The sequence below is a fragment of the Homo sapiens genome, chromosome X, assembly GCF_000001405.40.
Source record: "Homo sapiens chromosome X, GRCh38.p14 Primary Assembly".
In the NCBI taxonomy this organism is placed as follows: Eukaryota; Metazoa; Chordata; class Mammalia; order Primates; family Hominidae; genus Homo; species Homo sapiens.
Genome location: NC_000023.11, coordinates 47,775,778 through 47,796,449, shown reverse-complemented (window position 1 = coordinate 47,796,449; position 20,672 = coordinate 47,775,778). Strand labels below are relative to the sequence as shown.

The 20,672-nt window shown below is 39.9% G+C and overlaps 1 pseudogene, besides 1 other annotated feature; it reads left to right on the top strand.

Moving 5' to 3' along the window:
• Positions 7,051-7,613: an enhancer, noted in NCBI's record as "OCT4-NANOG-H3K27ac-H3K4me1 hESC enhancer chrX:47648236-47648798 (GRCh37/hg19 assembly coordinates)". NCBI's record gives its function as "activates a minimal SCP1, AML or CMV promoter by ChIP-STARR-seq in primed H9 embryonic stem cells {active_cell/tissue: H9 hESC(primed)}" and the evidence as "EXISTENCE:reporter gene assay evidence [ECO:0000049][PMID:30033119]".
• On the top strand, positions 17,793-19,578 carry LOC100419784 (zinc finger protein 484 pseudogene; annotated as a pseudogene).

The window sequence follows — 20,672 nt, the reverse complement described above, 5'->3', positions numbered from 1 at the left end:
CAAATGAGGGTGGCTGCCTACCTCTGTTCTAGAGCATTCTTCAGAGGCAGCAAAAGGCCTAGGGTCAAAGCAAATCTCAGCAAATGTATTATAACAAGCAACCAAGAGTATTTGAGGACACACCTTTCTGATGGCCTGATTTCACACAAAGAGAAAAAGTTAAATTATATGTTCAGTGGAGGGACTGAATGCATTTCAGTGACATGTAATAGTTTTCTTGGGCAGCTGTCTTAGTTCAGGCTGCCATAACAAAATGCCATAGACTGATGGCTTAAATAACAAACATTTATTTATCACAGTTCTGGAGGCTAGGAAGTTCAAGATCAAGGTGCTGGCAAATCTTTGGCTGGTGAGGGCCCTCTTCCTGGTTTGCAGATGGTCATCTTGTTGTATCCTCACATGGCTGAGAGAGAGAAAGAGATCATCTCTCTCGTGTCTTTTCTTATATGGGCAGTAATCCCATTTATAAAGGCTCTGACCTTATGACATAATTACCTCCAAAAGGACCCACCTTCTAATACCATCACATTGGGGGTTAAGATTTCAACATATGAATTTTGGGGGAACAAACTTTCAGTCTATAACAGCAGTCTTTTGACACTGCTTGAGCCACAGATAGATCAAAATTATAAGGGGAATTAGTTACATATATAATTTTTAGTACAATTTTAGACCGTATGGGAGCTCATTCTGTGTTCATTTCCTCCTTTTTTCTTAAAAACTGTCTATTTTTTTCATATTACAGAACTTATCCATGTGTAATTTATAATATTCAAGCTACTCAGAAACACAAAAATAGTATAATGAACCCCCTTGTATCCATCATCAATATACAACAGTTATCAATAGTTATGGGCATACGACCAATCTTGTTTTATCTACTACTGCTGGGTTATTTTAAAGAAAATCACTGAAGTAATATCATTTCTTCCTTACTTTCTTTAGTATGTATCCCTGCTTAACTACAATGCCATTATCACACTGAAAATATTAACAGTATTAAGAAAATAATTTCTTAATATTATCTGTTCCTACACTGTGTATAAATTTCCTCTCTTAGACCACTTTGTGTTGCTATAACAGAAAACCACAGACTGGATAATTTATAAAGAAAATAAATTTACTTCTTACAGTTCTAGAGGCTGAGAAGTCCAAGGTCTGGCTGGGCGTGGTGGCTCACGCCTGTAATCCCAGCACTTTGGGAGGCCGAGGCGGGTGGATCACCTGAGGTCAGGAGTTCAAGATCAGCCTGGCTGACATGGCGAAACCCCATCTCTACTAAAAATACAGAAATTAGCTGGGCATGGTGGTGGGCACCTATAATCCCAGCTACTCAGGAGGCTGAGGTGAGAGAATCACTGGAACCCAGGAGGCAGAGGTTGCAGCGAGCCAAGATCATGCCATTGCACTCCAGCCCAGGCACCAAAAGGGGAACTCTGTCTCAAAAAAAAAAAAAAAAAAGAAGAAGAAGAGGTCCAAGGTCAAGGGGCCACATCTGCTGAGAGACTTCTGCTGCATCATAACATGGCAGAAGGCATCGCATGGCAAAAGAGCATGTGTGTGTGAGAGAGGAAGGGGACCAAACTCATCCTTTTTATCAGGAACCCACTCCCACAATAACAACATTAATCCATTCATGAAGGCAGAGCTGTCATGACCTAATCACCTCTTAAAAGCCCTACCTCTCAATACTTTTGCATTGGAGATTAAGTTTCTAACATATGAACTTTGGGGGACACATTCAAACCATAGCATTTCCTTAATAGTCTCATAAGTGTCCTTTTAGTTTAAATTTAAATAAGAATATTGATGTTGATACTATATACTGTTCTTTTTCAGATTCCCTGTTTTACTTGTACTTATTTGTGTATTTAGTTTTGTACAATTTTATCACATGTATAAGTTTTTATATCCTCCACCACAGTGAAGATACAGAACAGTTCTGTCACCATAACGATCCTCATTGTTGCGATTTTATAACCATAACTATCTTCTCTTCTTACCCCTTTGTCTTAAAACCCCTGGCAACAACTAATCTAGTCTCTATTTCTAAAATTTCATCATTTCAAAAATGTTATATAAATGGAATCATGTGCAGATGGTCTCTGGCTTACAATGTTTTGACTTAAAATTATTTAACTTTTCCATGGTGCAAAAGTGATAAACATGCAGTAGAAACTGTACTTCAAGTATCCATACAACCATTCCGTTTTTTCACATTCAGTTCAGTATTTAATAAATTACATGAAATATTCAATGCTTTATTATAACATAAGCTTCTTGCTAGATTATGTTGTCCAACTGTGCTAATATAAGTATTCTATGCACATTTAAGGTAGGCTAGGCTAAGCTATGATGTTCAGTAGGTTAGGTGTGTTAAATGCATTTTTGAATTATCGTATTTTCAACTTAGGATGGATTTATCAGGATGTATGTCGAGTAGCATCTGTAGTATGTAACCTTTTGGGATTGGCTCTTTTCACCTAGCATAATTCCCTGGAGATTCATTCATTCATTGAATGAATTCAATGAATGAATGAATGAATGAATGAAAAGCTGTTGCAGGTATCAATAGTTCATTCCTTTTCATTGCTCAGTAGTATTCCATAGTATGGGTGTACATGTTTGTTTAACCATTCACCTGTTGAAGGATAACTGGTTGATTCCAGTTTGGAGCTATTACAGATAAAGTTGATATGACCATTTGTGTACAGGTTTTTGTGTGAACGCAAGTTTCATTTATTTTTCTGAGAGAAACAGCCAAGAGTGCAGTTGCTGGGTTTATGGTAATTTCATGTTTAGTTTTATAAGAACTGCCAAAGTCTTTTCTAGACTGACTGTGGTACTTTACAGTTTACACTGCCACCAGCAATGCTTGAATAATCCAGTTTTTCCACACCCTCACCAGCATTTGACATTGTCACCACTTTTCATTTTGCCATTCTGATAGGTGTCTCACTGTGTTTTTAATTTGCATTTCCCTAATGTCTACTGATGTGGAACATCTTTTCATGTGCTTATTTGTCATCTCTATATGCTCTTTGGCAAAATGTCTATTCATATATTTTGCCCATTTTCTAATGGATTGTCTGGATTTTTACCATGGAGTTTTGAGGTTCTTTATATATTCTAGATGTCAGTCTTTTGTCAGATATGTGGTTTCCAAATATTTTCTCCCTGTCTATAGCTTGTCTTTCATTCTCTTCACATGATCTTTCACAGAGCAAAAGTTTTTAATTTTGATGAAGTCCAATAAAAGTTTTATTGTTTTATGTTTTATATTTAAGTTCATGATCCATTTTGAATTATATTTTGTATAAGGTGTGAGGTTTATGTTGAGGTTATTTACTTGCTTACAATGTCTAATTGCACCAACACCACTTGTTGAAAAGCCTGTACTTCTTCCATTGAACTGTTTTTACATCTTCCTCAAAAATCAGTTGAGGCTGGGTGCAGTGGCTTATGCCTGTAATCCCACCACTTTGGGAGACTGAGGCAAGAGGGGATCATTTGAGCCCAGGAAGGCAAGGCTGCAGTGGGCTGTGATCATGGCACTGCAATCCAGCCTGGGCGACAGAATGAGACCCTGTCTCAAAAAAAAAAAAAAAAAAAAAAAGTCAGTTGGGCATATTTGATGAATGCCTTTTTAAAAAAATGAGTTGGGATTCAAACAAGGGCCACACATTGCATTTGTGAGATATAGTTCTTAAATTTATGTTACTCTATAAAAGATTAGCTTCACATTTTCCCTTGCTATTTATTTGTTAAAGAAACTGGGTCATTTGTTCTGTAGAATGTCCCATATTCTGGATTTGGCTGACGACATCCTTGTGATATCACTGAAGATATTCCTTGATCCTTCATATTTAATGCAAGCTGTTAGCTCCAGAGGCTTGAACATATTCAGGTTTAATTTTTTGATAGAATAATTCATAAGTTGTGTTTCGTACATATTCTTGCATCTCACTGAGAGGTGCATAATTCCTCAATATCTTTCTTTATGTGCTAAGATTAATCAGTGGGTTCAGGTGTTGTTGAACCTGATCCATAGATTATAAAGCTCCCTGCAGCCTTTCACTTAAATGTTTAGCATCCATTGATGATCATTGCCTAGGTCCATTATTTCATTAGGATTTTCAAAATAGTGATATTTTAATGCTATCCCTCCCTCTTTGTTTATCAGCTGGAATACTTCTATAAAGAACAACTTCACTCATGATTTGGCTCTCTGTTTGTCTGTTATTGGTGTATAAGAATGCTTGTGATTTTTGTACATTGATTTTGTATCCTGAGACTTTGCTGAAGGTGCTTATCAGCTTAAGGAGATTTTGGGCTGAGACAATGGGGTTTTGTAGATATACAATCATGTCATCTGCAAACAGGGACAATTTGACTTCCTCTTTTCCTAATTGAATACCCTTTATTTCCTTCTCCCGCGTAATTGCCCTGGCCAGAACTTCCAACACTATGTTGAATAGGAGCGGTGAGAGAGGGCATCCCTGTCTTGTGCCAGTTTTCAAAGGGAATGCTTCCAGTTTTTGCCCATTCAATATGATATTGGCTGTGGGTTTGTCATAGATAGCTCTTATTATTTTGAAATACGTCCCATCAATACCTAATTTATTGAGAGTTTTTAGCATGAAGGGTTGTTGAATTTTGTCAAAGGCCTTTTCTGCATCTATTGAGATAATCATGTGGTTTTTGTCTTTGGTTCTGTTTATATGCTGGATTACATTTATTGATTTGCGTATATTGAACCAGCCTTGCATCCCAGGGATGAAGCCCACTTGATCATGGTGGATAAGCTTTTTGATGTGCTGCTGGATTCGGTTTGCCAGTATTTTATTGAGGATTTTTGCATCAATGTTCGTCAAGGATATTGGTCTAAAATTCTCTTTTTTGGTTGTGTCTCTGCCCGGCTTTGGTATCAGAATGATGCTGGCCTCATAAAATGAGTTAGGGAGGATTCCCTCTTTTTCTATTGATTGGAATAGTTTCAGAAGGAATGGTACCAGTTCCTCCTTATACCTCTGGTAGAATTCGGCTGTGAATCCATCTGGTCCTGGACTCTTTTTGGTTGGTAAGCTATTGATTATTGACACAATTTCAGAGCCTGTTATTGGTCTATTCAGAGATTCAACTTCTTCCTGGTTTAGTCTTGGGAGGGTGTATGTGTCAAGGAATTTATCCATTTCTTCTAGATTTTCTAGTTTATTTGCGTAGAGGTGTTTGTAGTATTCTCTGATGGTAGTTTGTATTTCTGTGGGATCGGTGGTGATATCCCCTTTATCATTTTTTATTGCGTCTATTTGATTCATCTCTCTTTTCTTCTTTATTAGTCTTGCTAGCGGTCTATCAATTTTGTTGATCCTTTCAAAAAACCAGCTCCTGGATTCATTAATTTTTTGAAGGGTTTTTTGTGTCTCTATTTCCTTCAGTTCTGCTCTGATTTTAGTTATTTCTTGCCTTCTGCTAGCTTTTGAATGTGTTTGCTCTTGCTTTTCTAGTTCTTTTAATTGTGATGTTAGGGTGTCAATTTTGGATCTTTCCTGCTTTCTCTTGTGGGCATTTAGTGCTATAAATTTCCCTCTACACACTGCTTTGAATGTGTCCCAGAGATTCTGGTATGTTGTGTCTTTGTTCTCGTTGGTTTCAAAGAACATCCTTATTTCTGCCTTCATTTCGTTATGTACCCAGTAGTCATTCAGGAGCAGGTTGTTCAGTTTCCATGTAGTTGAGCGGTTTTGAGTGAGTTTCTTAATCCTGAGTTCTAGTTTGATTGCACTGTGGTCTGAGAGACAGTTTGTTATAATTTCTGATCTTTTACATTTGCTGAGGAGTGCTTTACTTCCAACTATGTGGTCAATTTTGGAATAGGTGTGGTGTGGTGCTGAAAAACATGTATATTCTGTTGATTTGGGGTGGAGAGTTCTGTAGATGTCTATTAGGTCCGCTTGGTGCAGAGCTGAGTTCAATTCCTGGGTATCCTTGTGGACTTTCTGTCTTGTTGATCTGTCTAATGTTGACAGTGGGGTGTTAAAGTCTCCCATTATTATTGTGTGGGAGTCTAGGTCTCTTTGTAGGTCACTCAGGACTTGCTTTATGAATCTGAGTGCTCCTGTATTGGGTGCATATATATTTAGGATAGTTAGCTCTTCTTGTTGAATTGATCCCTTTACCATTATGTAATGGCCTTCTTTGTCTCTTTTGATCTTTGTTGGTTTAAAGTGTGTTTTATCAGAGACTAGGATTGCAACCCCTGCCTTTTTTTGTTTTCCATTTGCTTGGTAGATCTTCCTCCATCCTTTTATTTTGAGCCTATGTGTGTCTCTGCATGTGAGATGGGTTTCCTGAATACAGCACACTGATGGGTCTTGACTCTTTATCCAATTTGCCAGTCTGTGTCTTTTAATTGGAGCATTTAGTCCATTTACATTTTAAGTTAATATTCTTATGTGTGAATTTGATCCTGTCATTATGATGTTACCTGGTTATTTTGCTCGTTAGTTGATGCAGTTTCTTCCTAGCCTCAATGGTCTTTACAATTTGGCATGGTTTTGCAGCAGCTGGTACCAGTTGTTCCTTTCCATGTTTAGTGCTTCCTTCAGGAGCTCTTTTAGGGCAGGCCTGGTGGTGACAAAATCTCTCAGCATTTGCTTGTCTGTAAGGTATTTTATTTCTCCTTCACTTATGAAGCTTAGTTTGGCTGGATATGAAATTCTGGGTTGAAAATTCTTTTCTTTAAGAATGTTGGGAGGAGCCAAGATGGCCGAATAGGAAAAGCTCTGGTCTACAGCTCCCAGCGTGAGCGACGCAGAAGACGGGTGATTTCTGCATTTCCATCTGAGGTACCGGGTTCATCTCACTAGGGAGTGCCAGACAGTGGGCGCAGGCCAGTGGGTGCGCGCACCGTGCGCGAGCCAAAGCAGGGTGAGGCATTGCCTCACCTGGGAAGCGCAAGGGGTCAGGGAGTTCCCTTTCTGAGTCAAAGAAAGGGGTGACGGACGCACCTGGAAAATCGGGTCACTCCCACCCGAATATTGCACTTTTCAGACCGGCTTAAAAAACGGCGCACCACGAGACTATATCCCACACCTGGCTTGGAGGGTCCTACGCCCATGGAATCTCGCTGATTGCTAGCACAGCAGTCTGAGATCAAACTGCAAGGCGGCAGCGAGGCTGGGGGAGGGGCGCCCGCCATTGCCCAGGCTTGCTTAGGTAAACAAAGCAGCTGGGAAGCTCGAACTGGGTGGAGCCCACCACAGCTCAAGGAGGCCTGCCTGCCTCTGTAGGCTCCACCTCTGGGGGCAGGGCACAGACAAACAAAAAGACAGCAGTAACCTCTGCAGACTTAAATGTCCCTGTCTGACAGCTTTGAAGAGAGCAGTGGTTCTCCCAGCATGCAGCTGGAGATCTGAGAACGGGCAGACTGCCTCCTCAAGTGGGTCCCTGATCCCTGACCCCCGAGCAGCCTAACTGGGAGGCACCCCCCAGCAGGGGCACACTGACACCTCACATGGCAGGGTATTCCAACAGACCTGCAGCTGAGGGTGCTGTCTGTTAGAAGGAAAACTAACAAACAGAAAGGACATCCACACCGAAAACCCATCTGTACATCACCATCATCAAAGACCAAAAGTAGATAAAACCACAAAGATGGGGAAAAAACAGAACAGAAAAACTGGAAACTCTAAAACGCAGGGTGCCTCTCCTCCTCCAAAGGAACGCAGTTCCTCACCAGCAACGGAACAAAGCTGGATGGAGAATGACTTTGATGAGCTGAGAGAAGAAGGCTTCAGACGATCAAATTACTCTGAGCTACGGGAGGACATTCAAACCAAACGCAAAGAAGTTGAAAACTTTGAAAAAAATTTAGAAGAATGTATAACTAGAATAACCAATACAGAGAAGTGCTTAAAGGAGCTGATGGAGCTGAAAACCAAGGCTCGAGAACTACGTGAAGAATGCAGAAGCCTCAGGAGCCAATGCGATCAACTGGAAGAAAGGGTATCAGCAATGGAAGACGAAATGAATGAAATGAAGCAAGAAGGGAAGTTTAGAGAAAAAAGAATAAAAAGAAATGAGCAAAGCCTCCAAGAAATATGGGACTATGTGAAAAGACCAAATCTACATCTGATTGGTGTACCTGAAAGTGATGCGGAGAATGGAACCAAGTTGGAAAACACTCTGCAGGATATTATCCAGGAGAACTTCCCCAATCTAGCAAGGCAGGCCAATGTTCAGATTCAGGAAATACAGAGAACACCACAAAGATACTCCTCGAGAAGAGCAACTCCAAGACACATAATTGTCACATTCACCAAAGTTGAAATGAAGGAAAAAATGTTAAGGGCAGCCAGAGAGAAAGGTCGGGTTACCCTCAAAGGGAAGCCCATCAGACTAAAAGCGGATCTCTCGGCAGAAACCCTACAAGCCAGAAGAGAGTGGGGGCCAATATTCAACATTCTTAAAGAAAAGAATTTTCAACCCAGAATTTCATATCCAGCCAAACTAAGCTTCATAAGTGAAGGAGAAATAAAATACTTTACAGACAAGCAAATGCTGAGAGATTTTGTCACCACCAGGCCTGCCCTAAAAGAGCTCCTGAAGGAAGCACTAAACATGGAAAGGAACAACCGGTACCAGCCGCGGCAAAATCATGCCAAATTGTAAAGACCATCGAGACTAGGAAGATACTGCATCAACTAACGAGCAAAATCACCAGGTAACATCATAATGACAGGATCAAATTCACACATAACAATATTAACTTTAAATGTAAATGGACTAAATTCTCCAATTAAAAGACACAGACTGGCAAGTTGGATAAAGAGTCAAGACCCACCAGTGTGCTGTATTCAGGAAACCCATCTCACATGCAGAGACACACATAGGCTCAAAATAAAAGGATGGAGGAAGATCTACCAAGCAAATGGAAAACAAAAAAAGGCAGGGGTTGCAATCCTAGTCTCTGATAAAACACACTTTAAACCAACAAAGATCAAAAGAGACAAAGAAGGCCATTACATAATGGTAAAGGGATCAATTCAACAAGAAGAGCTAACTATCCTAAATATATATGCACCCAATACAGGAGCACCCAGATTCATAAAGCAAGTCCTGAGTGACCTACAAAGAGACTTAGACTCCCACACAATAATAATGGGAGACTTTAACACCCCACTGTCAACATTAGACAGATCAACAAGACAGAAAGTCCACAAGGATACCCAGGAATTGAACTCAGCTCTGCACCAAGCGGACCTAATAGACATCTACAGAACTCTCCACCCCAAATCAACAGAATATACATGTTTTTCAGCACCACACCACACCTATTCCAAAATTGACCACATAGTTGGAAGTAAAGCACTCCTCAGCAAATGTAAAAGATCAGAAATTATAACAAACTGTCTCTCAGACCACAGTGCAATCAAACTAGAACTCAGGATTAAGAAACTCACTCAAAACCGCTCAACTACATGGAAACTGAACAACCTGCTCCTGAATGACTACTGGGTACATAACGAAATGAAGGCAGAAATAAGGATGTTCTTTGAAACCAACGAGAACAAAGACACAACATACCAGAATCTCTGGGACACATTCAAAGCAGTGTGTAGAGGGAAATTTATAGCACTAAATGCCCACAAGAGAAAGCAGGAAAGATCCAAAATTGACACCCTAACATCACAATTAAAAGAACTAGAAAAGCAAGAGCAAACACATTCAAAAGCTAGCAGAAGGCAAGAAATAACTAAAATCAGAGCAGAACTGAAGGAAATAGAGACACAAAAAACCCTTCAAAAAATTAATGAATCCAGGAGCTGGTTTTTTGAAAGGATCAACAAAATTGATAGACCGCTAGCAAGACTAATAAAGAAAAAAAGAGAGAAGAATCAAATAGACACAATAAAAAATGATAAAGGGGATATCACCACTGATCCCACAGAAATACAAACTACCATCAGAGAATACTACAAACACCTCTACGCAAATAAACTAGAAAATCTAGAAGAAATGGATAAATTCCTCGACACATACACTCTCCCAAGACTAAACCAGGAAGAAGTTGAATCTCTGAATAGACCAATAACAGGAGCTGAAATTGTGGCAATTATCAATAGTTTACCAACCAAAAAGAATCCAGGACCAGATGGATTAACAGCCGAATTCTACCAGAGGTACAAGGAGGAACTGGTACCATTCCTTCTGAAACTATTCCAATCAATAGAAAAAGAGGGAATCCTCCCTAACTCATTTTATGAGGCCAGCATCATTCTGATACCAAAGCCGGGCAGAGACACAACCAAAAAAGAGAATTTTAGACCAATATCCTTGACGAACATTGATGCAAAAATCCTCAATAAAATACTGGCAAACCGAATCCAGCAGCACATCAAAAAGCTTATCCACCATGATCAAGTGGGCTTCATCCCTGGGATGGAAAGCTGGTTCAATATACGCAAATCAATAAATGTAATCCAGCATATAAACAGAGCCAAAGACAAAAACCACATGATTATCTCAATAGATGCAGAAAAGGCCTTTGACAAAATTCAACAACCCTTCATGCTAAAAACTCTCAATAAATTAGGTATTGATGGGACGTATTTCAAAATAATAAGAGCTATCTATGACAAACCCACAGCCAATATCATACTGAATGGGCAAAAACTGGAAGCATTCCCTTTGAAAACTGGCACAAGACAGGGATGCCCTCTCTCACTGCTCCTATTCAACATAGTGTTGGAAGTTCTGGCCAGGGCAATCAGGCAGGAGAAGGAAATAAAGGGTATTCAATTAGGAGAGGAAGTCACATTGTCCCTGTTTGCAGACGACATGATTGTTTATCTAGAAAACCCCATTGTCTCAGCCCAAAATCTCCTTAAGCTAATAAGCACCTTCAGCAAAGTCTCAGGATACAAAATCAATGTACAAAAATCACAAGCATTCTTATACACCAACAACAGACAAACAGAGAGCCAAATCATGAGTGAACTCCCATTCACAATTGCTTCAAAGAGAATAAAATACCTAGGAATCCTACTTACAAGGGATGTGAAGGACCTCTTCAAGGAGAACTACAAACCACTGCTCAAGGAAATAAAAGAGGATACAAACAAATGGAAGAACATTCCATGCTCATGGGTAGGAAGAATCAATATCGTGAAAATGGCCATACTGCCCAAGGTAATTTACAGATTCAATGCCATCTCCATCAAGCTACCAATGACTTTATTCACAGAATTGGAAAAAACTACTTTAAAGTTCATATGGAAGCAAAAAAGAGCCCGCATCGCCAAGTCAATCCTAAGCCAAAAGAAGTGTGCTGGAGGCATCACACTACCTGACTTCAAACTATACTGCAAAGCTACAGTAACCAAAACAGCATGGTACTGGTACCAAAACAGAGATATAGATCAATGGAACAGAACAGATCCCTCAGAAATAACGCCGCATACCTACAACTATCTGATCTTTGACAAACCTGAGAAAAACAAGCAATGGGGAAAGGATTCCCTATTTAATAAATGGTGCTGGGAAAACTGGCTAGCCATATGTAGAAAGCTGAAACTGGATCCCTTCCTTACACCTTATACAAAAATCAATTCAAGATGGATTAAAGATTTAAACATTAGACCTAAAACCATAAAAACCCTAGAAGAAAACCTAGGCATTACCATTCAGGACATAGGCATGGGCAAGGACTTCATGTCCAAAACACCAAAAGCAATGGCAACAAAAGCCAAAATTGACAAATGGGATCTAATTAAACTAAAGAGCTTCTGCACAGCAAAAGAAACTACCATCAGAGTGAACAGGCAACCTACAACATGGGAGAAAATTTTCGCAACCTACTCATCTGACAAAGGGCTAATATCCAGAATCTACAATGAACTCAAACAAATTTACAAGAAAAAAACAAACAACCCCATCAAAAAGTGGGCGAAGGATATGAACAGACACTTCTCAAAAGAAGACATTTATGCAGCCAAAAAACACATGAAAAAATGCTCATCATCACTGGCCATCAGAGAAATGCAAATCAAAACCACTATGAGATATCATCTCACACCAGTTAGAATGGCAATCATTAAAAAGTCAGGAAACAACAGGTGCTGGAGAGGATGTGGAGAAATAGGAACACTTTTACACTGTTGGTGGGACTGTAAACTAGTTCAACCATTGTGGAAGTCAGTGTGGCGATTCCTCAGGGATCTAGAACTAGAAATACCATTTGACCCAGCCATCCCATTACTGGGTATATACCCAAATGACTATAAATCATGCTGCTATAAAGACACATGCACACGTATGTTTATTGCAGCATTATTCACAATAGCAAAGACTTGGAACCAACCCAAATGTCCAACAATGATAGATTGGATTAAGAAAATGTGGCACATAAACACCATGGAATACTATGCAGCGATAAAAAATGATGAGTTCATGTCCTTTGTAGGGACATGGATGAAGTTGGAAATCATCATTCTCAGTAAACTATCGCAAGAACAAAAAACCAAACACCGCATATTCTCACTCATAGGTGGGAATTGAACAATGAGATCACATGGACACATGAAGGGGAATATCACACTCTGGGGACTGTGGTGGGGTGGGGGGAGTGGGGAGGGATAGCATTGGGAGATATACCTAAGGCTAGATGATGAGTTAGTGGGTGCAGCGCACCAGCATGGCACATGTATACATATGTAACTAACCTGCACAATGTGCACATGTACCCTAAAACTTAAAGTATAATAATAAAAAAAAAGAATGTTGAATATTGGCCCCCACTGTCTTCTGGCTTGTAGAGTTTCTGCTGAGAGATCTGCTGTTTGTCTGATGGGCTTCCCTTTGTGGGTAACTCGACCTTTCTCTCTGGCTGCCCTTAACATTTTTTCCTTCATTTCAACTTTGGTGAATCTGACAATTATGTGTCTTGGAGTTGCTCTTCTCGAGGAGTATCTTTGTGGTGTTCTCTGTATTTCCTGAATCTGAACATTGACCTGCCTTGCTAGATTGGGGAAGTTCTCCTGGATAATATCCCGCAGAGTGTTTTCCAACTTGGTTCCATTCTCCCTGTCACTTTCAGGTACACCAATCAGACATAGATTTGGCCTTTTCACATAGTCCCATATTTCTTGGAGGCTTTGTTCATTTCTTTTTATTCTTTTTTCTCTAAACTTCCCTTCTCACTTCATTTCATTCATTTCATCTTCCATCACTGATACCCTTTCTTCCAGTTGATCGCATCGGCTCCTGAGGCTTCTGCATTCTTCACGTAGTTCTCGAGCCTTGGTTTTCAGCTCCATCAGCTCCTTTAAGCACTTCTCTGTATTGGTTATTCTAGTTATACATTCGTCTAGATTTTTTTCAAAGTTTTCAACTTCTTTGCCTTTGGTTTGAATTTCCTCCTGTAGCTCGGAGTAGTTTGATTATCTGAAGCCTTCTTCTCTCAACTCGTCAAAGTCATTCTCCGTCCAGCTTTGTTCCGTTGCTGGTGAGGAACTGCGTTCCTTTGGAGGAGGAGAGGCACTCTGCTTTTTAGAGTTTCCAGTTTTTCTGCTCTGTTTTTTCCCCATCTTTGTGGTTTTATCTACTTTTGGTCTTTGATGATGGTGATGTACAGATGGGTTTTTGGTGTGGATGTCCTTTCTGTTTGTTAGTTTTCCTTCTAACAGACAGGACCCTCAGCTGCAGGTCTGTTGGAGTTTGCTAGAGGTCCACTCCAGACCCTGTTTGCCTGGGTACCAGCAGTGGTGTCTGCAGAACAGCAGATTTTCATGAACCGTGAATGCTGCTGTCTGATCGTTCCTCTGGAAGTTTTGACTCAGAGGAGTACTGGGCCGTGTGAGGTGTCAGTCTGCCCCTACTGGGGGGTGCCTCCCAGTTAGGCTGCTCGGGGGTCAGGGATCAGGGATCAGGGACCCACTTGAGGAGGCAGTCTGCCCGTTCTCAGATCTCTAGCTGCATGCTGGAAGAACCACTGCTCTCTTCAAAGCTGTCAGACAGGGACATTTAAGTCTGCAGAGGTTACTGCTGTCTTTTTGTTTGTCTGTGCCCTGCCCCCAGAGGTGGAGCCTACAGAGGCAGGCAGGCCTCCTTGAGCTGTGGTGGGCTCCACCCAGTTCGAGCTTCCCGGCTGCTTTGTTTACCTAAGCAAGCCTGGGCAATGGCGGGCATCCCTCCCCCAGCCTCGCTGCCGCCTTGCAGTTTGATCTCAGACTGCTGTGCTAGCAATCAGCGAGACTCTGTGGGCCTAGGACCCTCCGAGCCATGTGCGGGATATAATCTCCTGGTGTGCCATTTTTTAAGCCCGTCGGAAAAGCACAGTATTAGGGTGGGAGTGACCCGATTTTCCAGGTGCCATCTGTCACCTCTTTCTTTGACTAGGAAAGGGAACTCCCTGACCCCTTGCGCTTCCCGAGTGAGGCAATGCCTCGCCCTGCTTCGGCTCATGCATGGTGTGCTGCACCCACTGTCCTGTGCCCACTGTCTGGCACTCCCTAGTGAGATGAACCCGGTACCTCAGACGGAAATGCAGAAATCACCTGTCTTCTGTGTCGCTCACGCTGGGAGCTGTAGACCGGAGCTGTTCCTATTCAGCCATCTTGGCTCCCCAGCCCCTTGTTTTTTTTTTTTTTAATATGTTTATTTTAAGTACTACTGACAGATTTTATTATCTAAAACATGACATCTATTTTATGCTCACTTTATGAAATGAAATGGAAGTTACTCCCTATTATGTAGCAAATGATCATTAAACTCTTCTCAGTGACAACAGTCCACAAATTTCTAGTTGAACATTATATATATTCTATAACTCATGTTCTATTCCATTTTTCTCATTTTCCTTAATGTTTCCTACATATGAAATTCCTCTCTGCATCTTGGCTGTTGATTATTTAAGGCTGTTTCTCTCCAGATACAGGTTTCAGTAGTTCTATTAAATTTAGTGTTTAATTACTCTAGCATTGAATATCTTTCCCTTTCTTCACCTTCCATCCCTCAGAATTTCAAAACTAATAACTTTTCCCCTTTATTTTAGTTTTTAATTTAAATTTTTGGGAGAGATAATATATTTACAAGGTTTGAAATTCAAAAATATGAAAGAGTACACAGTGAAAAATCTCACTCCCATCTCTTTCCTCCCATATCCCTCCCCAGGGACTACCAATATTAATGGTTTCCTTCCAGAAATATTTATATGCAAATTATATATTTTCAAACTGTATGACAGATGATGATTTCCCTCCTAGAGCTTTTCTAAAATCCTTAAGAATAAAAGTGATAGCAATATTTTATTCTTAATTTTTTAGTGGAAAAAGGGATAAACCAGTTCAAGTACTAAAATTTTTGGTTTTGTGGAGATAGGTAAACCAGGGTGTTTTGTTTCAGTGGGATTGTTTTCAGTGTGTTGAAAAGTGTTCAAAGAAACAGATTGTTAGTGGGAAGGGAAAACATGGCTTGAAAACAAAAAGAATTCAGGCTTTATTCATTAATCATTCCAGCAATGTGGACAACTATTATTTAAAAAGCATAAAAGTGGGTAACATAGATAGTGTCTGCTCTTAAAATTCAGAGAAAATCATGTCTCCCTAGAAATGTAGTTAGATCATGAGATTAATTTTCAGAGCATAGGACTCTTAACTGATCTGTGAATCACATATACATTTTGAATCGTCACAAGGCAGAAAAAGCAAGCTTAATGAGGGAAGAATATGTGAATAATGATTGGATTTAGGAATACACTGGAGTTTTGAGTAAATATTACTTACTAATGGAATGCAAACTCACATATACTATCTATTTTTTCAGACCAATGACTGTATGTGTGGCCTATGAAGTTGGTGGGCTCAAGAGTGTTAAAGATAACATTTTCAGCACAGGCATGAACTTTTTACATTGAAGAGTAGGAGCTGTAACTAAATATTTTTGGCTCCAGTAAAAGGTTTGTGTTTGTGTGCATGTGTTTTTGTGTGTGTGTGTATATGTGTGTGTGTGTGCATGTATGTGTGTTTGTGTGTGTATGCTAAATGAAGTACAAAGTTCAAAAAAGTTCCTCATCTGTGCCTATGAATTGACATGCTTAAGAATAAATGAAAGGAGATTTATGGATATAAGAGTATAGCATAAGAGTGAAAGTATAGTGGAGTTTTGGGGACAAGGTGCTGGATGCCAGTATTTTAGCCTGGGCTACAAGAGGAAAACAAATGGGATTTTATGATCAGATCATGCTCAGTATCTTCAAACTTGGTAGAATAGAATAATGGTGTAATTCAGGGGTCTCCAACCTCCAGATCACAGACTTGTACCAGTGGAAGATAGTCCGTGGCCTGTGAGGAACCAGGCGGCACAACAGGAGGTGAGCAGTGGGGCCGGAAAGCGAAGCTTCATTTGTATTTACAGCTGCTCCCTATCACTCACATTACCACCTGAGCTCCCCGTCCTGTCAGATCAGTGGGGGTATTAGATTCTCATAGGAGTGCAAACTCTATTGTGAACTGAGAATGCGAGGGATCTAGGTTGTGCACTCCTTATGAGAATCTAATGCCTGATGATCTGTCACTGTCTCCCATCACCCCCAGATGGAACCATCTAGTTTCAGGAAAACAAGCTCAGGGCTCCCACTGCATTATGGTGAATTTTATAATTATTTCATTATATATGACAGTGTAATAATAATAGAATAGAAATAAAGTGCACAGTGAATCTAATGCACTGGAATCATCCCGAAACCATCCCCCCTCCCTGGTCCATGGAAAAATTGTCTTCCACAAAACTAGTCCCTGGTGCCAAAAAGGTTGGGGACTGCTGGTGCAATTTATGCATTTTATAAATATTGAAAACCTGCTATAGTTCATCTTCTGTAAAAATAATTGAAATATTAGTGATTTCCTCTTCTTGGTAAGTTGATTTATTTATTACTTAGGGTAAAACTGAGCTGCTATAAGAACTAACTGGGTACTAGATAGCCTATGTAAATGGAGACAGGCTGGCTTGGTTTAAATCCAGTCTACTTGACACAGGACCCATGTCATCTTGGGCAAAGTATTTACCCATTCTGAGCTTCAGCTGTTTCTTCTGAAAGCATGTATAATAATATCTACCTCAGAGGGTTGCTATGAAAGTTAAATGAGTTTAAATATATGTATTATGTATTAATACTTTTATATTACTTAGAAAAGTACCTGGCATGTTGTAAGTGCTGTTTAAGTGTACAGCATATAATAAGAATCATCATTATCATCATCATCATGTGATTTCTCTGTGTTCAGTCTGGATAAGTTGCATACGGCTTCTCTATACTAAGCTAACTGTTCTATGTTTCAATTTCACCTTCTTTTTCTCCTTTTAGGAGGGAAGTGTGGGATTGAAATTCTTTAATAGTAAATTTCTGTTAAAAGCTTTATTTCACAATAAGAGAGTAGGTGAATTCAAGAGGGACAATTCATTGTTTCCATTTTTAATGAAAACTGTGGCAAGATGATGAACAGATAGAGATGTAAGGAAAACCAAAATAGACCTTTGAGTCATTTGCTTTCATCAACAGTAACATATTGAATAATGAAAAAGATTATGAATATAAGTACATTGGAAAAACAATTCACATGAGCCCATATCTAATTAGTTCACAGAAGCCATCCCTTAAATATGATTCATTTGGAAAGGATTTGAAACATAATTAAAACTTATAAGTCCCAATAGAAGCAATGCAAGAAAAACCTTGAGATTATTAATTATAGTCAAATTTTACTTACAGCTTCTTATACTATGTTAATTCTCATACAGGTGAGAAATTTTGTGAACCTAATCAATGTAGAAAAGTCCTCAGTGACAAATTTGGATGAAGAATGTGTCCATTCTTCATCCAAAATTTCTCACTGGGAGGATAGCCTATGTAGGCAATGAATGTGAAAAAGTCTTCCCTCAGAAGTCACACATCTTCACACATCAGACTTTTCATTCTGGGGAAAAGCCCAACGAATGCAGAGAAAATGAGAACGCTTTCACCCAGTAGTCAATATTCAGTTTGCAACAGAGAATTCACACCGAAGAGAAACCCTATATATGCACTGAATGTGGGCAGGCCTTCATCCAAAAGACACACTTGATTGCACATCAGAGAATATATAGTGGAGAGAAGCCTTTTGAATGCTGTTACTGTGGGAAAGCCTTTCATTCCAAATCCCAAGTGAATGAGCATGGGAAAACCCACACAGGAGAAAAACCCTATACAGGCACAAAATGTGTGAAGGTCTTCTCCAAAAGATCCAATCTCCTTGCACACCAGAAGACTCATACTGTAGAGAGCTTATGTCTGTACTGAATGTGGAAAGGCCTTTACTTACAAATTGGTCTTGATTACACATCAAAGATGAGAAACTTTATGAATGCGGCAACTGTGGGAAAACCTTTACTCAGAAGTCTCACCTCAACATACATCTGAATTTTCACACTGGAGAGAAACCCAGTGTATGTACCTGAACATGAAAAAGCCTTCAACCATAAGTCAAACTTAATCACACATTAAAAAGTTCATGTTAGGGAAAAACTCAATGAATGCAGTGATTGTGGGAATTCTTTCAAGTCACAGCTCCATGAGAATCAACAAAGTCATGCAGGAGAGAGACCCTATGCATGCACTAAATGTGGGAAGGCCTTCAAAAAACCACATCTCCTTGCACGTCAGAAAACTCATATTGGAGCAAAATCCCATGATCTGGTTTGGATCTGTGTCCCCACCCACATATCATGTTGAATTGTAATCCCCACTGTTAGAGGAGGGGCCTGGTAGGAGGTGATTGGATCATTGGGGGCAGAGTTCTCATGAATAGTTTAGCACCATCCCTGCTGGGTACTGTCTAGTGAGCGAGTTCTCATGAGATCTGGTTATTTAAAAGTGTGTAGCTCCTCCCCACTTGTTCTTTCTTCCTCCTGCTCCGGCCATGTAAGACATGCCTGCTTCCCCTTCACCTTCCATCATGATTGAAAGTTTCCTGAGGCCTCTTTAGAAGCTGAGTTGATGCCAGAATTATGCTTCCTCTACAGACTGCAGAACTGTGAGCCAATTAAACCTCTTTTCTTTATAAATTACCCAGTCTCATGTGTTTCTTTATAGCAGCGCGAGAATGGACTAATACATCCCATATATGTATGTCCTGAGTGTGAGAAGGCCTTCACATGCAAGTCAGTTTTGATTACATATCAAAGAGAATTTACACTGGAGAGAAGCCTTATGAGTAGAGTGACTGTGGGAAAGCCTTCACACACACACACACACACACACACACACACACACACCACTAGCTTCAGCAGCAGCAGCAAATTCACACAGGAGAAAAGCCCTATGTATATACCGAGTGTGACAAGGCCTTCACCAACAAGTCAAGTTTGAATAAGCACCAGATTACTCTTTCTCCAGCTAAACCTTATAAATGCAGTGACTGTGGGAAAGGCTGCACCCAGAGATTAGCTTTCAATATGCATCCAAGTATTCCTACCTAAAAGAAAATCTGCATGTTTCTTGAATATGAGAAAGCCTTCTCAGAGAAGTTGGATCTAAGTGTATGCTGTAGAATGCCTGCAGCAGAAAAACCATGTGAATATATTCATGAGCCAAGTTAAGAGGAGAAGCCCTAAGAATGCATCAGAGCAGCATCTTTCCATATTTGCACGTCCTCACTATGTGGAGTATACACTGTTGGTGCCTCACCCTGATCCCCTTGACTGGCCAGGGCATCCATTTTCTAACTGCTGCAAGTGCTGTAGCAAACAGCTTATACCTGTAACTTTTTCCAGAGCATTGCCTTTGGTTTTCCGTAGTGCCAACATGCCTGGAGATGGTTATACTACCCTCCTAGGGAGTAGCCAGTGAGTGATTTATAAAAGGATACAAGAGCCCAAGTTCCTCCCTCAAGGCAGAACAACTTTGCAGTGAAATTTACAATCCAGAGGCTCCTCCCCCTCTCCACACTCCTCTGCCCTGCATGGGGCCAAGGCTTGACTCTACATGAAACCACGTCCTTGTGATGACTCCTCTTTCCCTATCCTTCTCTTATTCCCTTACAGGTTCCACCATGAAGAACATATAAATCATATGCTTCCAGATGCCTTTCTTAGCCTCTGTGTATAGAAGGGAACCTGACCGGAGATGGTATCATAGAATTCATAGAACCCAACTGAGGAGAAATTGTTCAAGTTTAATCCTTTAGGAAAAGACTTCCCACAAAAAGCGCTATAACATAAATTGATTCCAAACTCCTTATAAAAAAGGAATATGGAAAATTATGTAAATGCTTTTCCTGTTTTCTGTGAAATTTTAAGTATTTTATAGTGTCAACAAACGAAGTTGTAGGACAACCAACTAGTATGTCTGATATGGACATACCCTGAATTCAAGAGAATATGTTTCATAATACACTGCACAACAGAAGGTATAGTATGTGTTTTAAATATTTTTGTAATATGATATAATTGTACCTGTCAAATATGTTCCCTAGTGTGTATTTCTAGCAAGAGATTCCACAATAAAACCATGATTTTGATTCCTTTATATATATAGGTTCTGTTTTTATGTAAATGTGTAAATATAATCCTATCATACTAGCTTTTATTTCACAATACTTTTTCTCTTCTTTCTGTAGACATTCATGTGAATGCCT